The 14,282-nt window shown below is 44.0% G+C and overlaps 2 protein-coding genes and 1 pseudogene across 5 annotated transcripts in view, besides 1 other annotated feature; 2 read left to right on the top strand and 1 right to left on the bottom strand.

Annotated features, from left to right (window-relative positions):
• The window catches only part of ASIP (agouti signaling protein), an 82,852-nt gene that overhangs the window by 9,397 nt on the left and 59,173 nt on the right, over positions 1-14,282 (bottom strand). The gene's annotated exons all lie outside the window — the stretch shown is intronic.
• The window catches only part of AHCY (adenosylhomocysteinase), a 79,856-nt gene that overhangs the window by 51,889 nt on the left and 13,685 nt on the right, over positions 1-14,282 (top strand). The window lies entirely within an intron of this gene.
• Positions 3,880-4,059: an enhancer, noted in NCBI's record as "active region_17758". NCBI's record gives its function as "activates an Ori minimal core promoter by ATAC-STARR-seq in GM12878 lymphoblastoid cells {active_cell/tissue: GM12878}" and the evidence as "EXISTENCE:reporter gene assay evidence [ECO:0000049][PMID:35858748]".
• On the top strand, positions 13,411-14,187 carry DENRP1 (DENR pseudogene 1; annotated as a pseudogene).

Genomic DNA, 14,282 nt, shown 5'->3' with positions numbered 1-14,282 from the left:
AATAAATTAAGTCTCAGTGAGAAAGATGAAGAGGTAAGTGGCCCCTTCAGACAAGCATATATGTTGGCTCATATCCTAGATTCCCAAACCCAGAGAGAACGAATGCAGGTATAGTTTGTGTCAGGAGGATGGAGCTGTTGACATAGGCCCCCTGGATTTATGTATTTATTTATTTGCTAGCTGGATTTTTTTTTTTTTAGATGGAGTCTCTCTCTTGTTGCCCAGGCTAGAGTGCAGTGGCATAATCTCGGCTCACTGCAACCTCCACCTCCCAGGTACAAGTGATTCTCCTGCCTCAGTCTCCTGCCCCAGTAGCTAGGGCTACAGGTGCCCATCACTATGCCAGGCTAATTTTTGTATTTTTTGTAGAGACAGGATTTTACCACATTGGCCAGACTAAGCATTTTATATTTTCTAACTCTTTTTATTTTTTTTGAGACAGAGTCTTGCTCTGTCAGCTAGGCTGGAGTGCAGTGGCACGATCTTGGCTCACTGCAACCTCCTCCTCCCAGGTTCAAGAGATTCTCGTGCCTCAGCCTCCAGAGTAGCTGGGATTACAGGTGCCCACCACCACACCTGGCTAATTTTTGTATTTTTAGTAAAGACGGGATTTCACCATGTTGGCCAGGCTGGTCTCGAACTCTTGTCCTCAAGTGATCCGCCAGCCACTGCCACTGCACCTGGCCTATATTTTCTAACTCAAGCTCATATAGTTTTTTTCTGTTGTCATTGTTTGTTTTGAGACAGAGTCTCACTGTCACCCAGGCTGGAGTGCAGTGGCACAATCTTGGGCCACTGCAGTCTCAACCTCCCAGGCTCAAGCCATCCTCCCACCTCATCCTCCTGAGTAGCTGGCACTACAGGCATGTGCAAACACACCTGGCTAATTTAAAAAAAAATTTTTTTTTGTAGGGATGAAGGCTCACTCTATTACCCAGGTTGGTCTTGAACTCCTGGGCTCAAGTGATCCTCCCACCTAAGCCTCCCAAAGTGAGCCACCACTCAGCCATATTTGTTCATTTGTGTGTATGTGTGTATATATATATACACTATATATATAATACTATATATATAGTATTATATATATCATATATTATATATACACTATATATATAATACTATATATAGTATTATATATATCATATATTATATATACACTATATATATACTATATATATTATATATATCATATATTATATATAGTATATATATACTATATATATTTTATAATATATATAATATATATATATAGTATGTATATATATATATATATGGCATCCCCCTTCTAAGATATTAACTCCTCAATGACAGGGGCTCTCCACCATGATTTCCAGCTTTATATTTTCTCACAGGAAGTAATAAATTCCATCCAAGCTTGGCTACTTCCTGGTCCCCATATGATGCTTGTCCTTTCCCACTGATCGCAGTGCTTAGCTTGCTATACAAACATTTATTTACTTATCATTTGTTAATGGTCATCAAAGCCCAAATGAGTGACTACAGTACTTATTTGCCCTTCTCACATTTCATATGGCATTTATCCAGTCTGGAGATAAGAATGGTTTTTACATTTTTAAATGATTCTATTAAAAAAAAAAAAAGAATATCCAACGGAGACCCTATGTGTTCCACAAAGCATAAAATATTTATTATCTGGCCTTTTACAGAAAAAGTTTGCCAACTCCGTCTAGATTGTAAGAATCATGATGGATTGGAATAAGAACATCATGTTTGCTCCATCAATATCTACTAACCGATGGAGCACTTAACTATTTCTTTTCTTTCTTTCTCTCTTTTTTTTTTTAAGATGGAATCTCACTCTGTTGCCCAGGATGGAGTGCAGTGGTGCGATCTTGGCTTACTGCAACCTCTGCCTCCCGGATTCAAGCAATTCTCCTGCCTCAGCCTCCTGAGTAGCTGGGACTACAGGTGCTTGCCACCACGCCCAGCTAATTTTTGTATTTTTTGTAGAGACAAGGTTTCACCATGTTGGCCAAGCTGATCTCAAACTCCTGACCTCAAGTGATCTGCCTGCCTTGGCTTCCCAAAGTGCTGGGGTTACAGGTGTGAGCCACCGCACCCAGCCCAACTATTTCTTCAGGAAAAGATATTGATGACCTTTATTAAAAGGCTAATGTGCCAATAATATTTCTCATTAATTTATCAGACTTCAGATTTGTTTTAGTACAGGACTGGGTCCTAATGAGACAAGAGCTAGGACTGGTAAACTTGGATTGTGGAGGCAGAGGAAAAATTACATCATGAATAGTTATCATAATGTTTTGAAACTTATTATTATATCATGCTGTCTAGAATTCATAAAGATTCAATACAGTAACATTTGGAATAGAAATATGAAATATTTGTAAACTAGATAATATTTTAGTTACATAAAATTAAATATATATTTAAAATTTTTATTCTGTATCATTGATCTCTTCCAAAAGCAATATTGTTTTTAATTTTTAGCTTCTGATTGTTGCTAAAAAGACCATTTTTCAAATAACAGCATCTAGCTTTAATGGGTATTAATTAGGAAGGCAAATTAGAAATAAATTCAACCCGGCTGGGCTGGTGGCTCACGCCTATAATCCCAGCACTTTGGGAGGCTGAAGCGAATGGATCACTTGGGGTCAGGAGTTCGACCTGGCCAACATGGTGAAACCCCGTTTCTACTAAAAATACAAAAATTAACCAGGTGGTGGCCTCCTGAGTAGATGCCTATAAATCCACCTACTCAGGAGGCTGAGGCAGGAGAATCGCCTGAACCCAGGGGGAGGAAGTTGCAGTGAGCTGAGATCGTACCACTTCACTCCAGCCTGGGTGAAAGAGGGAAACTGTCTCAAAAAACAAAAAACAAAAAACAAAAAAAAAAAAGAGAAAGAAAGAGAGAGAGAAAGAAAGAAAAAGAAAGAAAGAAATTCAACTTTAAAAAACAAGGAAAGTAAAGGATGGAGATGTGGTGGAATGTGGTGGGAAGCTCTGATTAACAAAAGGCTCTTAGCAGGGAGTGGCGGCACAAGACTGTGTTCCCAGCTACTCGGGTGGCTGAGGTGGGAGAATCACCTGACCCCAGGAAGTTGAGGCTACAGTGAGCTGTGATTGTACCACTGCACTGTTACCCAGCCTGGGCAACACAGTGAGACTCTATCTCAAAAACAAAAACAAATGAGCTCGATTAAGGCAAGTTACAAGAGGCATGTTATAAATTAGGAGGCGGTACGTGTAGTTATTTTGTGTCTTTGGGTTTTCCTTACCATAAATAATATACTCATGGGCCAAAAACTGTAATGGGAATTTCTACAAAGAAGTGAGAGTGGCCGGAAAATCTGAGCTAGAAAAAGAGGCCAGGCATGGTGGCTCACGCCTATAATCCCAGCACTGGAGGAAGCCACAGGAGGAGGATTCCTTGATCTTAGGAATTTGAGACCAGCCTGGCAACATAGAGAGACCTCATCTCTACAAAAAATTTTTAAAAAATTAGCCGGGTGTTATCGGGTCCAGCCCTACTGGGTCTGTGGGTTTTTTCTCCTCATGTGTGGAGACGAGAGATCGTAGAAATAAAGACACAAGACAAAGAGACAGAATAAAATACAGCTGGGTCCGGGGGACCACTACCACCAAGGCACAGAGACCAGTAATGGCCCCGAATGCCTGGCTGTGCTGTTATTTATTGGATACAAGACAAGGGGGCAGGGTAAGGAGTGTGAGCCATCTCCAGTGATAGATAAGGTTACACAAGTCACGTGTCCACCAGACAGGAGGCCCTTCCCTGTTTGGCAGCCGAGGCGGAGAGAGAGGACAGTTTATGCCATTATTTCTTCTATGCATTTCAAAGACTTTAGTACTTTTACTAATTCTGCTACCACTCTCTAGAAGGCGGAGCCAGGTGTACGGGGTGGAACATGAAAGCGGACCAGGAGCGTGACCGCTGAAGCACAGCATCACAGGGAGATGGTCAGGCCTCTGGAGGCTGCGGGTGGGCCTGACTGATGTCAGGCCTTCCACAAGAGGTGGTGGAGCAGAGTCTTCTCTAACTCCCCCGGGGAAAGGGAGACTCCCTTTCTCGGTCTGCTAAGTAACCGGTGCCTTCCCGAGCACTGATGCTACCACTAGACCAAGGTCCACTAGGTAATGGGTGCCTTCCCAGGTGCTGGCATTACTGCTAGACCAGGAAGCCCTCTAGTGGCCCTGTCCGGGCGTAACAGAGGGCTCACACTCTTGTCTTCTGGTCACTTGCTCACCGTGTCCCTTCAGCTCCTATCTCTGTATGGCCTGGTTTTTCCTAGGTTATAATTGTAGAACAAAGATTATTATAATATTGGAATAAAGAGTAATGCTACAAACTAATGATTAATGATATTCATATATAATCACATCTATAATCTATTTCTAGTATAACTATTCTTATTCTATATATTTTCTTTATTATACTGGAGCAGCTTGTGCCCTCGGTCTCTTGCCTTGGCACCTGCGTGGCTTGCCACCCACAGGTGTGATAGTACACACCTGTGGTCCCAGCCTCTTGGGAGGGTGAGGTGGGAGGGAGGATTGCTTGAACCTGGGAGGTTGAGGCTCCAGTGAGCTGTGATCATACCAAAAAAGAAAAGAAAGGAAGAAAGAAAAAGGTGGCAGGAGTTTGGGGAAGATTAAGTTAGACCCAGGAACAGGATTGAGAACGAGGGGGCTGAATCAACAGTCCAGTTCAATATTCACAAATCCAAGGGGTAGTGGGACAGCTCATGACCAGAGGCCAATATCCATGGGACTGGATGTCCATGGACTGGCCAAAGTCCACAGTGATCACTTGCTCTGAACACTTCATAATGTAGGTACAAGCTCAGTTCACCATCAGAGCAGCCATAAGCCTAATGTAAACACTATTCACTGCACAATGGGTAGGCAGGAGATCTCACCAGGTCAAATCCCCAGCCTAACTCAGGAAAAGTGAATCCTAGGGGTTAGTTTAAGACAAACAGACCAACCCCCGGCAAAACAGTTCTCCTGGTAGAACCATACAGTTGGACTGAGTCTTGGATTGGTAAAGTCTCAGTGGAGTAAATCTTATTTGGGTATAATAGGGAGAAAGTTAAAGACCAGTATTCCTTACCTCAATTCTGGAGGGATATGTATATTCTAAATGTAATACAGGTCCATAATGTTTAGTTGTATTAGGATTCTTGGGGTCAGATGTTTTTTAGAATTCAGAACTTTGTGAACGTTAGAAAAATAGTATCATCCATATATTATGTTAAACCACATATAAGGGGTCTGGGAGAACCCTATAATGAAAATATTAATGCTTCTATAGCAAAAAGGCATGGATCTTCATAATAGGCAGGATGAATACAGACTATGAATTGATTCACATCAATTCGGGACGGGTTTTGTTGCCAAATGTCTTCAGGTAAGTTCAGATTTTGCTGCCAAATGAGTTGCCAAAGGGGGAACAAAACCTTATACTTTTCAGGGTGTTGGGATTTTGCAATTACAGGTAAACGTTTTTGGATCTGTACAGACCTTGTTGCTGTTATTACTCATTAGAGAAACACACTCCCTGCTATTAATACAGGACAATAATGCTAGGCCGGGCCCTGTGGCTCACGCCTATAATCCCAGCACTTTGGGAGGCCAAGGCAGGTGGATCACCTGAGGTCAGGAGTTCGAGACCAGCCTGACCAACATGGTGATAGCTCGTCTCTACTAAAAATACAAAAATTAGCTGGGTGTGGTGGCGCATGCCTGTAATCCCAACTACTTGGGAGGCTGAGGTAGAAGCATCACTTGAATCCAGGAGGCAGAGGTTGCAGTGAGCAAAGATTGTGCCACTGCACTGCAGGCTGGGTGACAGAGTAAGACTCTGTCTCAAAAAAAAAACGAAACAAAACAAAACAAAAAAACAGGACAATAATGCTGACAGCAATGAGTAGCTGTGTAACTGGGTTTCTCAACTGTCTTTCCACTCTGCAATGATGAAGACTGTTATTTGATGTGTGATATCTCTGATGACAGTTCTCCTTTTAAATTCATCATCTGTATTTAGGACTTAAGATGAGTTTCTCTTCAGCATGGTGGATAAAAAGAAGGATCCAGACACACGAGTCAGATCACTTGGATGAACCTGTCATTTAAATGGCTGCCTGACCCTAGGTCCACCTAGGTCTCAGCTTTCTCAGTTTTAAGGGCCCGGCACTCACGCCTATAAGCCCAGCACTTTGGGAAGCTGAGGTGGGTGCATCACTTGAGGCCAGGAGTTTGAGACCAGCATGGCCAACATGGTGAAACCCGTCTCTACTAAAAATACAAAAATTAGCCAGGCTTGGTGGTGCATGCCTATAATCCCAGCTACTTGGGAGGCTGAAGCAGAAGAATCGCTTGAACCGGGAGGCGGAGGTTGCAGTGAGCTGAGATTGTGCCATTGCACTCCGGCCTGGGCAACGGAGCAAGACTCTGTCTCTAAAAAATAAATAAATAAATAAATAAATAAATAAATAAATAAAATAAAATAAAAATAAGAGCGTAGGGAAAAGAAAGAGAGATCAGGCTGGGCGCGGTGGCTCACGCCCGTAATCCCAGCACTTTGGGAGGCTGAGGCAGGCGGATCATGAGGTCAGGAGATCAAGACCATCCTGGCTAACATGGTGAAACCCCGTCTCTACTAAAAATACAAAAAAATTAGGCGGGCGTGGTGGCAGACACCTGTAGTCCCAGCTACTCGGGAGGCTGAGGCAGGAGAATGGTGTGAACCCAAGAGGCAGAGCTTGCAGTGAGCTGAGTGAGCCACTGCACTCCAGCCTGGGCAACAGAGCGAGACTTCGTCTAAAAAAAAAATAAAAAAAAAAGAAAGAGAGATCAGGTTGTTACTGTGTCTATGTAGAAAAGGAAGACATAAAAAACTCCATTTTGATCTGTACTAAGAAAAATTGTTTCTGCTTTGAGATGCTGTTAACCTGTAACTTTAGTCCCAACCCTGTGCTCACAGAAACATGTGCTGTATTGAATCAAAGTTTAATGGATTTAGGGCTGTGCAGGATGTGCCTTGTTAACATGTTTGCAGGCAGTATGCCTGGTAAAAGTCATCGCCATTCTCCATTCTCGATTAACCAGGGACACAATGCACTGGACACAATGTCCGCAGGGACCTCTGCCCAAGAAAGCCTGGGTATTGTCCAAGGTTTCCCCCCACTGAGACAGCCTGAGATATGGCCTCGTGGGAAAGGAAAGACCTTACCATCCCCCAACCCGACACCCATAAAGGGTCTGTGCTGAGGGGGAGTAGTGAAAGAGGGAGGCCTCTTTGCAGTTGAGATAAGAGGAAGGCATCTGTCTCCTGCTCCTCCCTGGGAATGGAATGTCTCAGTGTACAGCCGACCATTCCCATTCATTTTATTCTAAGATAGGAGAAAATAGGAGAAAACCGCCCTGTGGCTAGAGGGGAGATATACTGACAACAATACTGCTCTGTTACTCTTTGCTACACTGAGATGTTTGGGTAAAGAAAAACATAAATCTAGCCTACGTGCACATCCAGGCACAGTACCTTTCCTTGAACTTACTCATGATACTAATTCCTTTGCTCACATGTTTCCCTGCTGACCTTCTCCCCACCTGTTGCCCTGCTACACTCCCCTCACTAAAATAGTAAAAATAATAATCAATAAATACTGAGGGAACTCAGAGACTGGCACCAGTGCGGGTCCTCTGTATACTGAGCACCGGTCTCCTGGGCCCACTGTTCTTTCTCTATACTTTGTCTCTGTGTCTTATTTCTTTTCTCAGTCTCTCGTCCCACCTGATGAGAAATACCCACAGGTGTGGAGGGGCAGGCCCCCTTCATAAGAGGATAGGACTATATGACTCACTATAGAGTCTGAGGCACAGAGTGGAAACTTGACAAAAATTTGTTATATGAATGAAAGAATCTACCTTCTATCCTTAATTCTATGAATCCTGTCTTAGTCTGTTTAGGTGACTATAACAAAATATCATAGACTGGGTGGTTTCTAAACAACGGAAATTTATTTCTCATGGTTCTGGAGGCTGGGAAGTCCAAGATCAAGGTGCAGGCAGATTCGATATCTAGTGAGGGCCTATTTCTTCATAGACAGCCATCATCTCTCTAATCTCACAAGGTGGAAGGGCTTTCCCTTGGGCCTCTTTTGTAAAGGCACTAGTCTCATTCATGAGGGCTCTGCCACCATGACCTAGTCACCTCCAAAAGGCCCCACCTCCTTACACTATAACCTTGGCAGTGAGGATTTCAACATCTGAATCTGAGAGGGCATAAACATTCAGAACATAGCAAATTCCTCATTTCCAATTCTTGCCTCCCTGTCATTGTGCCACTGGGCAGCTTAAATAGTTACACAGAGAAGGTCAGGCGCGGTGGCTCATGCCTGTAATCCCAGCACTTTGGGAGGCCGAGGCGGACGGATCACGAGGTCAGGAGATCAAGACCATCCTGGCTAACACGGTAAAACCCCGTCTCTATTAAAAAATACAAAAAAAAATCAGCCGGGCGTGGTGGCGGGCACCTGTAGTCCCAGCTACCTGGGAGGCTGAGGCAGGAGAATGGTGTGAACCGGGGAGGTGGAGGTTGCAGTGAGCCGACATCACGCCACTGCACTCCAGCCTGGGCGACGGAGCGAGACTCTGTCTCAAAAAAAAAAAAAGTTACACAGAGAAAGATTTATAAGGGTCACTTATTATGTTTCCTTAAGAGCTGAAGAATTTACAAATGCATAAGTGTGACTGAATCTGACTAAGTTGTGGAAAAGAGGGCATGGAAAGTCATGGAAAGTTTGTACAAGCCCACTGCAATTGTATTAATAGCAGTGAGTGTGTTCCTCATGAGTAGTAACAGCAATGAGGGTTTGTACAGGTCCAGTGCAATTGGTTGATGTAACCCAGGAGTCTTGTTGACGTGCGTGCACACATGTATGCTAATGTGCAAGATCTCTGCTTGAGGGAATATAAGAGACAACAGTGTTGAGATCATCCCTGAGTAGGGTACACTCAGCGTCCTGAGTGTGCACTGAAGGCATCCCCTTAGCGACAGCACTGGGGAGAGTATTGTATCTTAATCCTTCAGGGATAAGGCCTTGTTCCCCACAGCAAAGGAAAGGACTACAGTCTCCCAGTCATGTGGCATGGCTAAGTACCTACTGAGACAGAGGTGTAGTGAGAGATGAGAATGGAAGAAGAGGCAAAGGCACCTCCACCTCCCGGGTTCAAGCGATTCTCCCATCTCAGCCTCCTGAGTAGCTGGGATTACAGGCATGCACCACTACGCCCGGCTAATTTTGTACTTTTAGTAGAGATCGGGTTTCACCATGTTGACCAGGCTGGTCTCAAACTCCTGATCTCAGGTGATCCGCCCGCCTCAGCCTCCCAAAGTGCTGGGATTACAGGTGTGAGCCACCGTGCTCGGCCTTTTTAATTTTTTTGAGATGTGATCTCACTGTGTTGCCCAGGCTGGCCTGAAACTCCTGGACTTAGGTGATCCTCCTGCCTCAGCCACTCAAGTAGCTGGGACTATAGGGGCACCACTGCACCTGGCTCCCCTTTTAATTTTTATTTTAGCATTGTTTTAGTATTTTTTGTTTGTTTGTTTAAGTAGTCTTCTTGAAGACAGTGAACAGTGTCAGCTGCTGACCATACTAGGTGTTCATGAGGCACAACTCTGACAGCCTGCCCTGGGCTTTGCTAGTGGCACTAGTCAAGGCAGCCAGAGTGTCTGGGTAGCCAGCAAGCTGGCATTGGAGGGGAGGTGACTGGGCTCAGTTAGTCATAATAGTGGCTTCCACCAGCCCTGCCAAGCACCAATGGCCAGAGACCTGGGGGTTCTTGGTAAAGCTCATCCCTGTGAAGGACAGTGAACACAGATCAAGAAGTATCAGCTGGACCCCAGCATGGAGGAGCAACTGCAGACTTCAGCAGACTCATTCAGGTTAGTTAAGATGAAGGCAGGCTTTCCTTTGATCAGGCTTTTGGAAAAAAGCATATACTTGGGAAGAAAGGGAAATGATAGAGCAAGAGGGAATTCTTGACCTTGAAATTGTCTGTGAAACACTGTGCATATGTGATTTTTCAGGGGAGAGGGTCCATAGCTTTCTCTGGGTCCATAATGGGTTCTCTGGCCCTGAAAAACTGAATCAAGTTGCTTTATGTTCTGCATATGTGAATAACGGATGCCCTACCTTTAAATGGCTTTCAGTGCAGGGAAGAGAGACAAGTAACTAACAAAAGGAGGAGGGGGAAGTGTTAGAGTTGAGGCACAATTTGCCAGGCCCTGTGAAAAATGAAATGTAGGACCCCTTGTTAAAAAATTAAGAGATGGTGACAGGAGAGCATTAAACCAAGCCATTGGCCCTTTAAGCACGAGGCCTGGTGCAGCTACACAAGCTGCATGCTCATGAAGCCAGCTGTGGTTACAAGATTGAGAAAGTTGACACTGATCATATGACACAGTGGTTATGAAGAAGTTTGCGGATTAGGGGAAACATTACATTACACTCAGTAAAGTTTCAGCAGTAAGTCATATAATAATGAGACTGCTTATAGACATCACCTTCAGCTGTCTAACCAGGGCTCTGGGCATCGGATATCTCAGTGGAGGCGAGGAGATAGGGGATTGGGGGCGGGGGATGGGAATGCGTTTGGGGAGTCAAAGAATGAACCAGCATGTAAAAACCTGGGTTCTGGTCCCAGCCCTGCCACTAGCTCCCTGTGTGACTTCTGGCAAGTTACTTTCTCTCTATGGATAACTTTTTCTTCACCTGTATGAGAAAAAATTTGCATTATTAGATTTTTTTTTTTCGAGACAGGGTCTCACTCTGTCACCCAGGCTGGAGTGCAGTGGTGCCATCTCAGCTCATTGTAACCTCTGCCTTCAGGGTTCAAGCAATTCTCCCACCTCAGCCTCCCTAGTAGCTGGGACTACAGGCATGTGCCACCACACCTGGCTAATTTTTTTTTTTTTTTTGTATTTTTGGTAGAGATGGGGTTTTACCATGTTGCCCAGGCTGATGAATTATTAGATTTTTAAGTTCTCTTCGAACGTTGAATTGCTGTTATTCCAAATGAGTGGCATCCCCTTCAGAGAGGCTACAACATATTCTGCTGAATATTTCTTTCTTTCTGTTTTTATAGATAGGGCCTTGCTCTGTCACCCAGGCTGGAAGGCAATGGCAAGACCATAGCTCACTGCAGCCTTGACCTCCTGGGCTCAAGCAATCCTCCCACATCAGCCTCCCAAGGAGCTGAGACTACAGGTGTGAGCCACCACACCAGGCCAATTATTTTTTTAGTAGAGGTGAGGTCTCACAATGTTGCCCAGGCTGGTCTCAAACTCCTGGGCTCAAGAGACACTGCCTCCTCGGCCTCCCAAAGTGCTGGAATTACAAGCGTGAGCCATCGTGCCTGACCTGAATATTTCTTTTATGGTGAGGATTTGCCCTCTGAGAATAAATCTGACCTCTGAAAATAGACAATGATTTCCAGCTAACTCTGGTAAGAATAATAATGTTTTTGACTGAAAATGAGCTGTGGCCTAAGTAATGGGATTTTTATAACTTAAAAGTGGTTTTAGTTTTTAGCTAATATAACCAGAATTGAGACAGTCAGTAGAATGTTTTTCCCCAAAGTTGTAATATTGAGATGTCATAAGTTCATTCTAATGCTGCAAGTAGCTTAAAATATCTTTGAATTCTAGACATACCTTCAGAGGCAATTTTTTTTTTTTTAGATGGAGTCTTGCTCTGTCACCAGGCTGGAGTGCAGTGGTGCGATCTTGGCTCACTGCAACCTTCACCTCCCGGGTTCAAGCGATTCTTCTGCCTCAGCCTCCTGAGTAGCTGGGATTACAGGCGCCCATCACCATGCCAGGCTAATTTTTCTATTTTTAGTAGCGACAGTGTTTCACCATGTTGGCCAGGCTGGTCTCGAACTCTTGATCTCAGGCGATCTGCCCTCCTTGGCCTTCCAAAGTGCTGGGATTACACGCATGTGCCACTGCGCCCGGCCTTCAGGGGCAATTTAAAAGTCATACAAGACAGGGCACCATGGCTCATGCCTGTAATCCCAGCACTTTGGCAGGTGGAGTCAGGAAGATTGCTTGAGACCAGGAGTTTGAGACCAGCCTGGGCAACACGGCAAGACCTCATCTCCACAAAAATTTAAAAAATTAGCTGGGCATGGTAGTTTCAGCTATCTTGGGAGGCTGAGGCAGGAGGATCACTTGAGTCTAGGAGATCAAGGCTGCAGTGAGCTGTGTTTGTGCCACTGCATTCCAGTTTGGGGAACAGAATGAGACCATGTCTCAAAAAAAAAAGTCATATAAGAAAAAGCATCAGCAGGGTACAGTGACTCATGCCTGTAGTCCTAGCACTTTGGGAGGCTGAGGTGGGTGGATCACGAGGTCAGGAGTTCAAGACAGCCTGACTAACATGATGAAACCTCGTCTCTACAAAAATACAAAAATTAGCTGGGCGTGGTGGCATGTGCCTGTAATCCCAGCTACTCGGGAGGCTGAGGCAGGAGAATCGCTTGAACCCGGGAGGCGGAGGTTGCAGTGAGCCGAGATCACACCATTGCACTCCAGCCTGGGCAACAGAAGGAGACTCTGTCTCAAAAAAAAAAAAAAAAAAGCATCATATAATGTAATAATCATAGCTTTCGTAATAAGATGGAAACCTGTTTCAATTGAGGACCATGTGAGGCAAATATCAATTTAAATCAGTCTTTTCTAAAAATAGCTATTTAGGAGAGAGGCATATACAATGTTAAACACAACGGGCTACATTGGCTCATGCCTGTAGTCCCAGCTACTTGAAAGCATGAGGCAGGTGGATCACCTAAGCCTGGGAGGTTGAGGCTGTGGTGAGCCATGATCATGCCACTGCACTCCAGCCTGGGTGATAGAGTGAGACCCTGTCTAAAACAAAAAACAAAAAACAAAAAAACAAAAACCAACAACAATGACAACTAAAACAAAAAAAACTAAAAACATAAAATGTTAAACTCACTAGGTTTTTAAATTAAAGAGAGGAGTATAAAACAGGCAGAAAAGGAAAGGAGAGAGGAGAAAAGTACAGAGGAAAAGAAATAAATAGAAGAGTTGTGGGAATTGGAGTTAATCAGTAAAGGGAGCTTCAAGTTTATCTGCAATTTTAAAAAATATAAAAGATGAAGGCCCGGCACAGGGGCTCACGCCTGTAATCCCAGCACTTTGGGAGGCTGAGGTGGGCAGATCACTTGAGGTCAGGAGTTCAAGACCAGCCTGGGCAACATGGCGAAACCCCATCTCTACCAAAAATACAAAAAATTAGTCAGGCATGGTGGCATGTGCCTGTGGTCCTAGGAGGCTGAGGTGGGAGGATTGCTTGAGCCCGGAGGCAGAGGTTGCAGTGAGCTGAGATTTCTGAATCCAGTGGGGCTGATTGCAAAGGAGACCCAAGGAACAGTGCCAAGTTAGATGCCAATTACCCACTTCGAGTCCTTTATTGTGGAGTCTGTTCATTACCAACAGAGTACTGTGAATATATGCCTGATGTTGCTCATTGTAAACAATGGTTAGAGAAGAATTTTCTAAATGAACTTGCAAAATTTACTGTAGAAAATTCACCCAAACAAGAAGCTGGAATTAGTGAGGGTCAAGGAACAGCAGGGGAAGAAGAGGAGAAGAAAAAACAGAAGAGAGGTGGAAGAGGCCAAATAAAACAAAAAAAGAAGACCATACCACAAAAGCTTACTAAGGCCAAAATTCCTAGAGCAAAGAAGAAACATGTGACAAGAGTGTGTGGCCTTGCAACTTTTGAAATTGATCTTAAAGAAGCACAAAGATTTTTGCTCAAAAATTCTCCTGTGCTGCCTCAGTAATGGGGAGGATGAAATTATTCGGGGAGACTTTACAGATGACATAATTCATGTCATTCAGAAAAATGGCCAGAAGTAGATGATGACAGCATCAAAGATCTTGGAGAAGTAAAGAAGTGAATTTGAAAATTTGTCTGTATTTAATGGCCTGAACTGAGAGTTGATATGGCCAAAGGGAGAGAGGCCTTTATATATACATATATATATATTTACTGTAGAATATATATATATTCTACAGTAAAACTGTAGACTGCCCTCGTCCTTGGCATTTTCACTGTTTTGTACAAGGTTGCTTGTTTTTTTAATTGCCAAAGTCAAATAAACAGGGAGACTGTCATGCTCATGCATGAATAGAATTTAGTCAAATAAAAAATTTTGGTCATTTGCTGGGCGTGGTGGCTCACGCC

The sequence above is a fragment of the Homo sapiens genome, chromosome 20 (genome assembly GCF_000001405.40).
Source record: "Homo sapiens chromosome 20, GRCh38.p14 Primary Assembly".
In the NCBI taxonomy this organism is placed as follows: domain Eukaryota; kingdom Metazoa; phylum Chordata; class Mammalia; order Primates; family Hominidae; genus Homo; species Homo sapiens.
The sequence above is the reverse complement of the archived record's forward strand: the minus strand, read 5'-3'. Positions and strand labels throughout refer to the sequence as shown.